Source organism: Homo sapiens, chromosome 16 (assembly GCF_000001405.40).
Source record: "Homo sapiens chromosome 16, GRCh38.p14 Primary Assembly".
Classification (NCBI taxonomy): Eukaryota; Metazoa; Chordata; class Mammalia; order Primates; family Hominidae; genus Homo; species Homo sapiens.
Window position 1 is genome coordinate 85538021 of NC_000016.10, and position 14325 is coordinate 85552345.

The 14325-nt window shown below is 53.5% G+C and overlaps 1 protein-coding gene across 8 annotated transcripts in view, besides 5 other annotated features; it reads left to right on the forward strand.

Moving 5' to 3' along the window:
* Window positions 1-14325, forward strand: part of GSE1 (Gse1 coiled-coil protein) — a 506689-nt gene that overhangs the window by 368509 nt on the left and 123855 nt on the right. The window lies entirely within an intron of this gene.
* Window positions 3887-4796: an enhancer, noted in NCBI's record as "H3K4me1 hESC enhancer chr16:85575513-85576422 (GRCh37/hg19 assembly coordinates)". NCBI's record gives its function as "activates a minimal SCP1, AML or CMV promoter by ChIP-STARR-seq in naive H9 embryonic stem cells {active_cell/tissue: H9 hESC(naive)}" and the evidence as "EXISTENCE:reporter gene assay evidence [ECO:0000049][PMID:30033119]".
* Window positions 6557-7390: an enhancer, noted in NCBI's record as "H3K4me1 hESC enhancer chr16:85578183-85579016 (GRCh37/hg19 assembly coordinates)". NCBI's record gives its function as "activates a minimal SCP1, AML or CMV promoter by ChIP-STARR-seq in naive H9 embryonic stem cells {active_cell/tissue: H9 hESC(naive)}" and the evidence as "EXISTENCE:reporter gene assay evidence [ECO:0000049][PMID:30033119]".
* Window positions 8901-9401: an enhancer, noted in NCBI's record as "H3K4me1 hESC enhancer chr16:85580527-85581027 (GRCh37/hg19 assembly coordinates)". NCBI's record gives its function as "activates a minimal SCP1, AML or CMV promoter by ChIP-STARR-seq in primed H9 embryonic stem cells {active_cell/tissue: H9 hESC(primed)}" and the evidence as "EXISTENCE:reporter gene assay evidence [ECO:0000049][PMID:30033119]".
* Window positions 12145-12733: an enhancer, noted in NCBI's record as "H3K4me1 hESC enhancer chr16:85583771-85584359 (GRCh37/hg19 assembly coordinates)". NCBI's record gives its function as "activates a minimal SCP1, AML or CMV promoter by ChIP-STARR-seq in naive H9 embryonic stem cells {active_cell/tissue: H9 hESC(naive)}" and the evidence as "EXISTENCE:reporter gene assay evidence [ECO:0000049][PMID:30033119]".
* Window positions 12734-13321: an enhancer, noted in NCBI's record as "H3K4me1 hESC enhancer chr16:85584360-85584947 (GRCh37/hg19 assembly coordinates)". NCBI's record gives its function as "activates a minimal SCP1, AML or CMV promoter by ChIP-STARR-seq in naive H9 embryonic stem cells {active_cell/tissue: H9 hESC(naive)}" and the evidence as "EXISTENCE:reporter gene assay evidence [ECO:0000049][PMID:30033119]".

The following is a 14325-nucleotide window of genomic DNA, read 5'->3' on the forward strand; positions in this document are numbered from 1 at the left end:
GGGCCCGGACCCCTCCCTGGGCACCATTTCCCACTGGCCACCCGGCTGGATTGCTGGCCTCTCATCTCCCACAGCCGTAGCTGAATCAGGAGACCCAGGCCAGAAGGGGAGGGGAGAAGAGAGGCACGCTGGCCGTTCTGAGCCGTTGCCGGGCCACCCTAGAGCCACCTGTGGCCGCCCGGCTGGCCCGCCAGCAATGGGTTTTTAATTATCTAAATATTGCCTCTGCCCTTTGCTTTCAGCCAGGACTGCTGAGCCCTGCAAAAGGCAAATCGCTTTCAGTGGCTCAACTTGTGGGGAGAGACGGAAGCTTTTCTCCCTGGCCTGAGTGCAGTGACTATGATCTGCTTGGTTTTCTTGGTGAGAAGAAATACAGCAGTGCGGCAGGGAGTTTACAAGTGTGGGGGTACTGGGGAGCAGAAATACACAAATTCCCTTCAGTCCCCAGCAGCCTTTCACCTCCTGGCATGTACCGTCTTGTCGCCGGCCCCATGCGTCCTTTCTTTTCTCTGACGGTGCTTGTAGCCAGGGAGCTTGACAAGGGCCTGGGTCTCGACTAAAGGTGCCCTGGGGGAGCCAGCCTTGGAAGCCAGCCGGTGGTTTCACTGGGGACTTGCCACCTTCGGAGGCCCCTGTGGGGAGGAAGTGGAGGAGGAGAGGGCAGGTACCGCTGCTTGCAGGGAGGAGGTCACCCACCAGACCAACCAGCTCTTGGAAAAGGATCTGGGAGCAGGCTCGGTGCCCCACTGCCGCTCTCTGGACACCCAGGATTTAAGCCACCTTCGTTTCCTTTCCTGCTTTAACCTCCCTCTTGCCCTGGAAGACCTCTGGGGCTCCTCCCCATCTCCCACCAGTCCCTCTCCAGCCCCCAAATCTCCCCCACCCACCTCGGTATCCCTTGGCTGGAGTGGCCTACAGCTGTGTTCACCAGGAGTGGGTCTGCCACTGACTCTGCCATCCGGGCCACCATGGCATCCGCCCTGGGTGCTCTTCAAGGCCGGTGCCCCTGCACAGTGCCAGCCCCGCGGGGCATGGCTCACCTTCCCCTGCCTCCACACAGCTTTGCCCACTCCTGTAAGTGTCTTAATTAAGGAGCTGTGCAGTTTATTTATGTATGGACCCAGCCTAATTGGTGTGTTTGTCTTTCCTCGTTATTCCCAGCTGGACAGAGCCGTTTGAACAACAAATGCAAAAAGCCTGGATCTCTCCACCGCAGTGTCTATTTTTGCAAACCTGCTTGGTGCCCCTGCTATTAGCTGCATGCACATGTTTCCCGGCTCCAGCCACATGCCCGTAAGCACTTAATTGTGGGTGCAGTTAGTCAAGGCGGGCGGCTCTCTGCAGATTTCAGGGGTGAGGGAACCTAATTACACCTGCAATTGAGTGCTTTAGCAGGGACAAAAGCTGCCTGTTCAGCTAATTGCAGGCACCAAAATTGCCCCCACAGAAAGAATCCCTGGTACAGGCTTTTCGAGCCAAGGCTATGAGTTGTAATAAAGAATGGATAACTCGAAATTATAACGGTGGGGGGTGCTTGTTTTGGCCTAAAGGATTCAGCTTTTTGCAATAGTCATTACACCTCTGGGTTGTTTTTCTCCACTGTTGGAGGCCGTTCTGTGGCTGGGTTTGTTTTTTCATTAGCGCCTGCGTTCACACAGAGACATGTCACGTTGAAGGGAAATTTGGGGTTAATCACCTCCTCTCACCTATCTGCTCACTGACTAGAGTGATTCACCAGGCTCACCCAGAACAGGCGGATGGCTGCCCTGTCCCCTCCCTGAAGGCCTTAGTCCAGTGTGTTCATTTAGTTAGTTTGCTACTGAGCTCCCATGTGGGCAGGGCATTGCTCTAGGGGTCATGGCAGGGAACAAAGGAGAGTCCTGGCCCTCGTGGGGCCTGTGACCTGGTGAGAGGTTAGACTGTGCCGCTTCTCTTGTTATGATTTCCTCTTCTCTGCAGACAGCTGCAGGCTCGTCTTTTATTTTATATCGAAGTCAGCAGGGTTGTTGTACAGGTGCCTATAATTCCAGCTTCCAAAGTCACTGCAGGTCTGCTTCTGTCAGCTGTTGTGGCTGCTGATTCTCGACTGGGAAGTGTGGTTTGTTGTTTGCCTGGTTATTTTTGATTGTGTACAGCTCATTGTATATGAAACATTTTTGTAGGCATACTTTGAAGCCCAGAAGGAAGGTGCTTTCCTTCAGGAGGACGTACACGTCTGGTAGGTGCCTAGAGACAGGGCTTTGGACCCCCTTCATCCAGTTCAGGCCTTGATGTTCAATGGGCAGCACTAGAGATTCCACCCTGCCTGTCCTTTCACACAGGGGCTGGTCAAGTTGCCCTTCACTCACACGGAATAGGTAGTTCTTTGGAGTCCCAGCTTATTGTGGGGAGGGTCTCCTATCGGATCCCCAACTTGTGCAAAGTGCCTGAGGCTTGGCTTTGTGTTCCCCTTGACCCTCAAGGCCATAAAAACAGAAATTCAAATTTGCTAGGACCTGTAGATGCCCTTGGGGCAAATGTGGCCTCTGAGCTAGGTCAGCTTGAGGATTTCCTATTTCCATTCCTTTTGGCATGGTGATCCCTTCTAGTCTTGACAGCTCTTTGGTGCTGGAGGTACCCAGGTGTGGTGGCTCACCACTGTAATCCCAGCTTTTTGGGAGGCTGAGGTAGGATCGCTTGAGCCCAGCAGTTTGAGACCAGCCTGAGCAACATGGTGAGACCCTGTCTCTTCAAAAAATTAGCCAGGTGAAGTGGCATGGGCCTGTAGTCCTTGATACTAGGGAGGCTGAGGCAGGAGGATCCCTTGAGCCCAGGAGTTTGAGGCTGCAGTGAGCTGTGATTGCACCACTGCACTCCGGCCTGAGCAATAGAGTGAGACCCTGTCTCAAAAAAAAGAAGCCTTGGGTACATTCTTATCTAGTTTTTTTGGGTTGGTTTTACTGGCCATTATGAGACATTCAGGCCACTTCGCCAAGCAGGGTGGTGTGGCGGGGATGGGGGTAGGGGCAGAGACAGAGCCTGAGAGGAGGGTCTGGGGGCTGTGCTCGACAGGGAGAATGGTGGGGAGCAGCAGGCATTTTGTCCAGCGCAGTCAGGGTGGGAGTAGGCAGCTGCATGGAATGTTCAGGAGGAGACCAGCATGGAGGAAGAGTCTAGAAGCCATCCAGGGAGGCTGATAGGCCAAGGCTGGGATGGTGAGAGCTGACCACCTGGGGGTTCCCCGGGAGGGCTGCCAGCTGCAAGAGGACAGCTTGAGTTGGGGGTGACCGAGACACAGTCAACAAAGAGTGCCAGGCCCTAGTCTAGGGCCTTCCCGAGGGACTTTCTCCACTGTGCCCTGCCAGAGGCGGAGCCTGGGTACCCGGAGGAAGCCACACAGCAGCCACCTGGCTGGCACAGGCCTCACTGTCCTGACCGTGTCCCCACTGCCCCAGCTGAGCTCCTGGGCCAAGTGAAAACCCTTTTCTAAGTCCGGCTGGTGGGAAAGTCTCACCTGGGGGCCCACACTGTCCCCCACTTCTTGCCCAGCAGACCCCTGCCAGCCACTCCGTGGACAAGGCAGGGCCACGGGCACATCACAGAGGGTTCGCTTCTGTGCCTGGGATCAGAGTGGGCCTGAGGTCCTGTTTCTGAGTTGTCACATAAGAGGCAAAGCCACGGGGCACGGTGAAGGGCTGTCTGGAGGACAGAGCGGCAGGGATGGTGTTGATGAGCAGTACAGGGGGAAGGGGCCCTGCATGGCACAGAACATTCCACATGCGTGTACTCTGTCAGGGGCCACGTCCCTGCCTCGCTGCTTGTCCTTGGTGTGACCTTGGGCTGACTTTCTCCATCTGCAGAAGGGGAGAGCAGTCTCCCTCCCCAGCACTGGGAACGGGCTGAGCATGAGGGAAGGCTGTCTGGGCATCAGGGGAGTTGTGAAGTTTGGAGATGTGTGGTTTTCAAAATGCATCCTTGCCCTCGGGGTAGAGAAGGCAGTATAAAGGGTGGGAGGCCCAGAAGACATCAGTCATTTCAGGGTTTTATTAGGGCAGGCCTCTGCCTTCAGCTGCCCTGCCCCACCCCCACCCCATCCGGTTTTGACCTTCTGGGTTGGAGGAGGGGGAGCCCGCTCTGCGTGTGATTGTGTGTGTGCATGTTGGAATTTGTAGAGTCAGGGCTGGGATGCGGGGAGGGTGTGAACCCACATTTGGATCAGCAGGCGAAGGCGGGGAGCAGGCTGCACAGGGCAGCTTTCTCTTTGGAAACCCGTTCTGTTTCTTAAATGTCAGAGTGAGCAGATGGTGTGTCTGAGTTTTATTAATCATGGGCTTACCGAGCTGGAGGGCCTGGGGGATCATTTCGTCCAAGTGTCCTACAGAGGAGGAGACTGAAGGCCAGAGCCACACTGCACCTGCCACAGGGGCAGAACCGTGCTGGGACCCAGCATCCTCTCCCACACCCATAAGCCTCCGCTGTGCAGAACTTAACAGGTGTGTCTCGCTCTGCCCAGGCGCAGCAAGCCTACCTCCCAATGAAGAGCTGAAGCGGAGATGCTTCTGGGTTGCTCCACCCCACAAACAACCGGAAAGGCTGTCTTTGGGACACATGGGTTGGGACTGTGACTGCTAACTAAGAGTGCTCTGGCCTTGGTGCTGTGTTCAGCTCAGCACAAGCTAGCGTTTGCTGTATGAGACTGATGGTCGTGAAGCCCGGGGGACTGTCCACACAGCACCTGGTTTGTGGGTGGCCCTGCTGGCCCCACCTCTTCACCATGATACTTGTGAGTCACATGACCTCCTCCCAAGTCCAGCACCAGGCTGGGGCTTCTCCCTCCCTGCAGCAGCTGCTGCAATACAGGGTACTCGGTAGTTTCCCTCATTACATGACCTGAGAAATGGAAGCCACTGTTTTTAGCGTAAATGCCCTTAAGAATGTCTCCTTGTAGCCGGGCGTGGTGGCTCATGCCTGTAATCCCAGCACTTTGGGAGGCCAAGGTGGGTAGATCATGAGTTCAGGAGTTCAAGACCAGCCTGACCAACATGGTGAAACTCCATCTCTACTAAAAATACAAAAATTAGCCAGGTGCAGTGGCAGGCGCCTGTAGGAGGCTGAGGCAGGAGAATTGCTTGATCCCAGAAGGCAGAGCTTACAGTGAGCCGAGATTGTGCCATGCACTCCAGCCTGGGCGACAGAGCAAGACTCCATCTCAAAAAAAAAAAAAAAAAAAGTCTCCTTTGCCTTGCTTTTCCCAAATATATCCTATAGCTGTTCCAGGGGCTAGGAGATGGACCCAACCGGACATAGCCTGGATTCTATAGAGATAGCAGAGGGAAGGCTAAGTCATACTACAGTGTGAATGATTAATAGTAGATATTTCTTTTCAGAGCAGGTTTTGTTTAGGTTGGGGAGAAAGAGGACTGCAGAGAAAAGGGATAAACACTGAGATGCCAGAGGCACCAGGGTTGCCCACCCCATAGAGTCCACACCCCATTCCCCATGTTTTTTGCATGAGCCCTGCTGGGGGGCAGGCCCTGGGTCCCTTCCCTTCTGATCCTGTTGTCCTGAGTCACAAGCTTATCCCTGTCTTGGAACCATTGGTTCTAAGCAGCACTGGAGAATCTGAGACAGCTGGAAGACCAGAGCACCCCATTCAGCCCCTCTAAATTTGTATGTGGTAAAGCTGGGGCCAAGAGAGGGCAGCTGTTGGCTCAAGGCCAGCCATAGTAGGAGGTCTAAAACTTGTGTCACCCAGCGTGCTGGCTGGATTATTTAGGCTATGCGAGTGGTTCTTTACGGAGGCAGTTTTGCTCCTTGGGGGACAGTTGGCCGTATCTGGAAACTTGTTTCTAATTTGAGACAGTATCTTGCTCTGTCATCCAGGCTGGAGGGCAGTGGCATGATCTCAGCTCACTGCAACCTCTGCCACCCAAGCTCAAGCAATCCTCCTGCCTCAGCCTCCCAAGTAGCTGGGACTACAGGCGTGCACCACCACACCTAGTTAATTGTATTTTTTGTAGAGATGGGTTTTCGCCACATTGCTCAGGCTGATGTCGAACTCCTGGGCCCAAGTGATCCACCCACCTCGGCTTCCCACAGTGTTGGGATTACAGGCGTGAGCCACTGCGCCAGCCTGTAGACATATTTTGATTGTCATGACTGTGCCGTTCTATTGACATCTCGTGGGTCGAGGCCGGGGATGTTGCTAAACATCCTGCAATGCACGGGACAGTCCCCGCAGCGAAGAATCATCCGGCCCCCAGTGTCAGTTTTGCCGAGGCTGAGAAACCTTGAGCTGTGCCCATGCTTTGTAAGTGCCAGGACAGAGGAGCCATTCTACTGAATACCCCATGCTGGGGACACATCGAGAATTCCCCCATCAGTTCAGGCATGACCCGCTGGAGGGCAAGTAAAGGACAGCTCAGGCCACGGGGACAGTCCAGAAAGAGCAGGCGAGGAAGAGCAATAGGAAAGGAAGTGGCTGGGGCTGACTCCAGATTTCTTTGCAAGGTAAAGGCAGAGAAGGACACAGAGGGCCCTCGGGCATCCCACTCTGGTCTGTCGCACTAAAAAGCTCGCACCCAGCATGAGGGGAAAGACAGGGATGAAGCCGCTCATAGAAACCACATCTTGTTGGCCAGAGGGCTACATGGACCTGAACCAGTTAGGCCCAGGAGGAGACAGCGAGATCTGCGTGTCATCCACAAATGGGGAATTAACAACCCTGGCAGTGACTTCTTGTCCAGCAGACCCCAGCAGCGGACAGTGGGAAGGGCTGTTCGCAATGCCTGTTTTCCTGGAGCAGGGCCTCGCCTGGTCTCTGGAGTGCCTGGGGAGAAGAAAGCCTTGTCGGTTTGCCCCCAGGCAGCAGAACAGGACCGCGGCCGGAGCAGGATGTGAGGAGGCCAGCCGTGCCCGCGCTGTCACGGTGTCCACAGATGGTGTGTGAGCCACTGGTTCAGGGACTGCAGAGTCGCATTTATTCCCATATTTCTCCTCCCCTCGGGAGACCTCCGTGGTGCCTTCCAACAGCTCTTGCCAGGCCCCCATTGGCTCTGCACAATGCAGAATGTGGACAACCAGGGCTGTCTGAGATTACCAATGGACTCCCTCCAAAAGTGGCCCGTCTGCGTCCCAGGAGGCGTTCCGAGGACAGGCAGAGGGTCCCTTCACAGGGATGAGCTATGTGGCCTGGGCAGTCCCCAACACAGTCGCTGTCTGATTTCTCTGGCATCTCCGTAGTCATAGGAAGGAAGGCCTTTTGTCATATTGCTGCCTCTATCTTGTAAAACCATTATTTTAAAGAGTTCCCAAATACTGAGCTTGCTGGCAGCTTGCTCCAGGGGCAGCCCCAAAATGGAGGTCGGACACACAGTTCTGCATGTAGACTGCAGATGCGGTGTTCTTGCCCTTCCTGTTTTTTGTTTGTTTTGCTTTTAATTAAGAAGGGTTTCTGGGTAAAGCGTCTTTGCCAGCTCCTACCACAGAGAGATGAGAGAGTTGAAAATACAGGGCCTGGCTTCCGACTTCTCTGAGTTCCAGTCTGAGCATTGCTTCTTACTGGCTGTGTGACCTTGGGCAAGTCACTTCACTTTTCTAGGGCTTTTCAGTTTCCTCATCTGAAAAATGGAGATAATAATAGACTTGCTCTTGTTGTGAAGATGTAACAAGATAATGTACTTAAAGCATGTAGCACAGTATTCGGCAGAAAGTCAGCATCCGGAAAGGAGACCTAGAGACCTATGGGTATGTGTTGTTAGTTTGTTTTTTTGGTTTGTTTGTTTGTTTGTTTGTTTGTTTTTGGAGACAGAGTCTCACTGTCGCCCAGGCTGGAGTACAGTGGCGTGATCTCGGCTCACTGCAAGCTCCGCCTCCCGGGTTCACGCCATTCTTCTGTCTCAGCCTCCCGAGTAGCTGGGACTACAGGCGCCCGCCACCACACTCGGCTAATTGTTTTTTGTATTTTTAGTAGAGACGGGGTTTCACTGTGTTAGCCAGGATGGTCTCGATCTCCTGACCTCGTGATCTGCCCACCTCGGCCTCCCAAAGTGCTGGGATTACAGGCGGGAGCCGCCGCGCCCAGCCATTAGTTTTTTATTTTTCTTGAGACAGTCTAGCTCTGTTGCCCAGGCTAGAGTACAGTGGCCCGATCTCAGCTCACTGCACCTTCCGCCTCCCGGGTTCAAGCAATTCTAGTGCCTCAGCCTCCTGAGTAGCTGGGATTACAGACGTGCGCCACTGTGCCCAGCTAATTTTAGTATTTCTTAGTAGAGATGGGGTTTCACCATGTTGGCCAGGCTGGTCTCGAACTTGTGGCCTAAGTGATCCACCCGCCTCAGCCTCTCAAAGTGCTGGGGTTACAGGCATGAGCCACCCCGCCCGGCCTGTGTTGTTAGTTAAACTCACACAAGCCCCCGTAACAAAGAGGCTCAACCTCTCAGGGGTGCATTATATTAGAAGTTGTACAGTAGATATTTATTTCTCAAGGACACACCCATATAATGTAGGATTGGTGGGGAGCCAGAACAGGGGCCTCTGCCCTGAGCATCATTTGGGGAGTTGATGGAGGTGTTGCTGGCTTCAGTATCTGTACTCAGAGTCATCCTGGGAGAAGGTATTCATAACAAAGACCTAGGAAGAGAAAAACAGAGGCTCGCACAGGCAGCTCTTCCGGGCCAGGCCTGGACGCGGCCAGTGATTCCTTCTCCCACATTCTCTTGGCCAGAACTTGGTCACCTGGCCCCACCCAATTGCCCTAGAGGCTGGGATGAAAGGGCATGGCTTGGTAAGAAGCTGGCCACCAGGGATTCTTGTCGTTACTGTCACCCCTGGCCCTGTGGGGCCTGAAGGTGTGCCCAAGGCCAGCAGTTAGAGGTAGATCCTCAGGAAGGCTGGCGGGCCACTTCCCCGGGCAGATGGCCACGTCCGATGATCTCCGGGGGCCAGGCTTCCACCCAAAGCCTGGCTGGTAAATGTGTGTCACGAGGGAGTGAGATGAGACGGCGGGCAGGTCCCAGTGGAGTGTGGACGTGAGTTTTGTGGAGGGCGGGCAGCCTCACCACACCCCTGTCCAGGGCCTCAGGACACTTTATCTCAATCTCAGTCCCTGTGACACACCTGAAGGATGGCTTGACCCAGCTGTGGCCCAAGGCATGCGGCTTCCAGACTTGGACAATGCCCAGAGCTTCCCAGGGCTGGTGGGACAGAGGGCATTTGATAGAAGTGACAGGATGTATTAGCTTCCTGTGGCTGCTATAACAAATTACTGCAAACTGGGTGGCAGCTTAAAACAACAGAAATGTATTCTCTCACGGAATGAAACTGAAATCCATGTGTCAGCGGGGCCATGCTCCCTCTGGAGGCTCCTTCCTGCCTCTTCCAGCACCCGGGGAATCCAGACATCCCTCGGCTTGTGGCCATATCACGCCAATTTCTGCCTCTATTTTCACGTGGCCATCTCTCCTGTGTGTCTTGTCTTTTGTCTGTTCCTCTTTTAAAAAACATGTTTTTGGGGTAATGTGATAGTTTAATAAATTTATATAATTAATGTATAATTTAATACATTTGTATAATTAGTACAGATCAAACCAGTATACTGGGGCTAGGTGTGGTGGCTCATGCCTGTAATCCCAGCACTTTGGGAGGCCGGGGAGGGTGTATCACCTGAAGTCAGGAGTTCGAGACCAGCCTGGGCAACATGGTGAAACCCTGTCTCTACTAAAAATACAAAAATTAGCCAGGCGTGGTGGCATGTGCCTGTAATCAGCTACTTGGGAGGCTGAGGCACAAGATTCACTTGAACCCTGGAGGCGGAGGCTGTAGTGAGCCGAGATGACACCACTGCACTCCAGCCTGGGTGACAGAATGAGTCTCTGTCTCAAAAAAAAAAAAAAAAAAATCAGTGTACTTGGTATATTTTTCTTTTCTTTATTCTAGAAATATTTGAGGCCGGGCGAGGTGGCTCATGCCTGTAATCCCAGGACTTTGGGAGGCCGAGGCGGGCGGATCACGAGGTCAGGATATCGAGACCATCCTGGCCAACATGGTGAAACGCTGTCTCTACTAAAAATACCAAAAAAATTAGCTGGGCGTGGTGGCGCATGCCTGTAATGCCAGCTACTCTGGAGGCTGAGGCAGGAGAATCACTTGAACCAGGGAGTCAGAGGTTGCAGTGAGCCAAGATTGAGCCACAGCACTCCAGCCTGGTGACAGAGTGAGACTCTTTCTCAAAAAAAAAAAAAAAAAAAGAAAGAAAGAAAGAAAGAAAGAAATATTCGAATTATTCTAGCTATTTTGAAGTGTACAATAGATTATTATAAACTATAGTCACCCTACTGATCTATAGAACACTAGGTCTTCTTTTTTTTTTTTAAACTAGGTCTTATTTCTATCTAATTGTATATTTGCACCCATTAATCAACTTCTCTTCTGCCCTCCCGCCTCTGTCATCATGAGATCCACTTTCTTAGTTCCCACATATTAGTGAGATCATGCAGTGTTTGCCTTTCTATGTCTGGCCTATTTCATTTAACGTAAGAATCTCCAATTCCACACGTGTTGCTGCAAATGACAGGGTTTCATTCTTTTTTACGGGTGAGTAGTATTCCATTGCGTGTAGGTACCACATTCTCTAGATTCCTTCGTCCGTGTTGGACACCGAGGTTGATTCCATGTTTTGGCTGTGGTGAACAGTGTGGTGATAAACGTGGGGGTGCAGGTGCTTCCTCTTGTTATAAAGACCCTTGCCATTGAGTTTAGGCCCACCCTAATCATCCAGGATGATCTGGTCTGGGGATTCTTTTTTTGTTGGAGACGGAGTCTCACTCTGTCACCAGGCTGGAGTGCAGTGGCTCGATCTCGGCTCACTGCAACCTCCGCCTCCTGGGTTCAAGTGATTCTCCTGCCTCAGCCTCCCGAGTAGCTGGGATTACAGGCGTGCGCCACCACGTCCAGCTAATTTTTATATTTTTAGTAGAGACGGGGTTTCACCATTTGGCCAGGATGGTCTTGATCTCTTGACCTCATGATCCGCCCGCCTCGGCCTCCCAATGTGCTAGGATTACAGCCGTGAGCCACCGCGCCCGGCCTGGAGATTCTTAATTGCATCTTCACAGATTCTTTCTAAATAAGGCCACATTCACAGGTACCAAGCAGACATATCTTTTTTCTTTTTCTCTTCTTTTTTTTTTTTTGAGACAGGGTCTTTGCTCTGTCGCCTAGGCTGGAATGCAGTGGCACAAACACAGCTCACTACAGCCTCAATTTCCTGGGCTCAAGAGATCCTGCTGCCTCAGCTTCCCATGTAGCTGGGACTATAGGCACACACGCCACTAAACCTGGCTAGCATTTTTATTTTTTGTAGCGACGGAGTCCCACTGTGTTGCCCAGGCTGGTCTTGGAACTCCTGGGCTCAAGCAGTCCTTCCACCTCGGCCTCCCAAAGTGTTGGGATTATGGGTATAAGCCACTGCACCTGGCCATGTAGACATCACTTTTGGCAGATTACCATTCTGCCTGCTGCACAGGGGCAGGCTGGGGATGCCTCGGTCCCAGGATCCTGGTTAGATGCTCTGAGAGGAGACAGCACCCGTGGGTGGGGTGTGCCCTGTAGCTCCCACCAAGCAAAGGTAAAAACAAAACCTGGATATGCAGAAGTCACCATGAGGTGTGACCGCACAGAGGTTCCCTTTTTTCTTTCAACCTCAGACTGGCTTGAGACTTGGAATGTTCATAGACGGTCCAGGGACCTAAGGACTAGAGCCGGACAGAAAGAGAAAGAGGGTGTGTCCTCTCCTTGTATGCCCTTGCCCTTGCTGAGCGACTTCACTTCTCTGGGCCTCAGCATCTTCATGCACAAAAGTGGGTGATGGTCACTGTGGTGCCCATCTCAAGGGGAGGGGATGCTGGGGCAGGTCGTAAGTAAGATGACATCGTAGGAAAGCAGGCATTGTGGAGCCCCAGTGCACTAAGGCCCCATCAGTGGGAGCTGCTATTAGCATTATTACCACTGTTATCTGAAACACAGGACTAATGGCTGCTCTGCTCATGGAGTCTCTGTGTGCCAGGCACCGGTGTGATTACACGTATCTTCCTGGAGTGCAGGGGTGATTCGCCTCATTTTCCAGGTAAGGAAACTGAGGGTCAAAATGTTAATGTCACTGCCCGAGGGCACACAGAGGGTGGGGGCGAGACGGAATTTGAAGTCTGACTGCAAACCTTTGCCGATGGTAATGAACATGCACTCTGGAGCCAGCTTGGGTTCCAACCCCAGCTCTGCCACCCACTGGCTGTGTGTCCTTGGGCAAGCTGCTCGACCTCTCTGTTCTTCATCTGGAAAATGGAACTCATGGTGACCTTGAACCAGATTGTCACGAGGATCCAATGCGCTATCCAGGAAAAGTGCTTAGAACAGCAGCTGGCACAGACTGAGCAGGCGGGAAGCATCAGCTGGTATTATTACCCTAAAGAGGGAAACGGAGGCTGCCCACCCGAGAACAGACGGGGCATTCCAGGTTAGCCACGCAGCTTCCCCGCCCCTCCCTTTCCTGGAATTTGGGGAGCAGTGCCTCTCTCCAGAGGGGGGGGTTGTGGCCTGGTCCTGGGGGGCCACCAGATGCCAGTGGGCACAGCTCCCAGCCGAGGCACCCCGCCGCCTGCACTCCAGACCCCAGCCTGCAGCCTCAGTTTTCCCAGCACGTGCTGGGAGGCTATTTTTATTGCTCTCAGCTGACTCTCTTGGCCAGCTAGGCTGTCTCCGTGCTGTGGCAAAGACAGCCCCGCTAGAGGGAGTCTGGGGACCCTCCATTTTGAAGGTGCAGCTGGTGTTGGGTGGGGGGCTGCATCTTCAGATTGGGGATCCGGCGGGCCGCATGCCGCCTCCTGGGAAGCAGCCCAGCAGCCCCCAGCTTGTTTTCTCCCATTGAGAGATGAAGCAGTTTTCTCTCTTTTTCTGCTGTGTCCAGAACATGGCCCTGCGCTGTTGGGGCCCATTCTTCCCTCTGACCTTGGGTGGGTGTGCAGCGTGGGCAGGGCTTTTTCAGGGAGGTGCGGGGTGAGTTTGCCCCTTGGCGTCCCCAGTCTTTAACAAGGGCTACCTGGAGGCTCAGGTCTGGGTGGTCCAGCCTGCCCAGTTTCCTACCTCTTTTCCATAAATGTCTGACTCCTCCCCAGCGGTGAGCTGAGGGATGGGGACAGAGAGCATTGCCACCACCAGGCTTTTCCGGAGAAGTGTGGGTGGAGAGAGACAGAGACATCCTTTCCTTGGACAGAATCCCTCTGGTGTGAAGTCTTACGAAGAGCGCTGCCCTTCTCACATGGGCACCTGGCAGTCTGTCCTGGTGTGGCCTAGACTGGTGGCCCCTGTCACCCCTAGCCAGGCCATAGGCACCCTCAGAGGCAGGGGTGCTGCAGCTCCCCTGGGAATGAATGGCTGTAGTGATGGGTTCCAAAAGCCACAGCCAAGCCACAAGGGACAGTGGGAACGGGAAAATCCTTCCCGCTACCCCGTTCAGCCACACTGTGGCAAACAACCGGGCCGTTCAATGGAAGGCCGCCCGGGAGGCTCACGGCGGGGCACGGTGGGGTTGCTTTCTGTTTCTCAGCTGTTTCGGCATCAGGTCGGCAGCTGTGGTGTAACCACCCTCCCATAGTGGGTCTCATATTTTCCTCCCTTACAAAGGTCCCTGTCACCAGGAAATGTCACTAACCTACTTTGAGACGCCCAGATCCAGGGCCAAAGGAGGCTGGGCTATCGCTAGAATTTTACAGCTCTCCTTCCCGAGGATGTGGCTAAAAGCAATTAGGGCTTGGCCTGAGCATTTTAAGGTAATTCGATGCAGGCATTCAAATACTTATTAGAGGGAGATGTTTACCTTTGACTAGGAAGCAAAGATCAGCCAGGAGCTGGCCCACCGGCATGCCCACTCTTCTCTGGCCCTCTCCTTCCTGGTCTGGCCTACCCACCGCCAGCCAGGCCTGGGGAGCTCTCCAAGCCCCTGCTTCGCCTCCGTGCACTCAATTTCTTTCTTTCTTTTTTTTTTTTCTTTGAGACGGAGTCTCGCTCTGTCGCCCAGGCTGGAGTGCAGTGGTGCGATCTTGGCTCACTGCAAGCTCCGCCTTCAGGGTTCACACCATTCTCTTGCCTCAGCCTCCCCAGAAGCTGGGACTACAGGTGCCCACCACCACACCCAGCTAATTTTTTGTATTTTTAGTAGAGACGGGGTTTCACCGTGCTAGCCAGAATGGTCTCGATCTCCTGACCTCGTGATCCGTCCGCCTCGGCCTCCCAAAGTGCTGGGATTACAGGCGTGAACCACCGCACCCGCCCCTCCTTTTTTTTTTTTTTTTT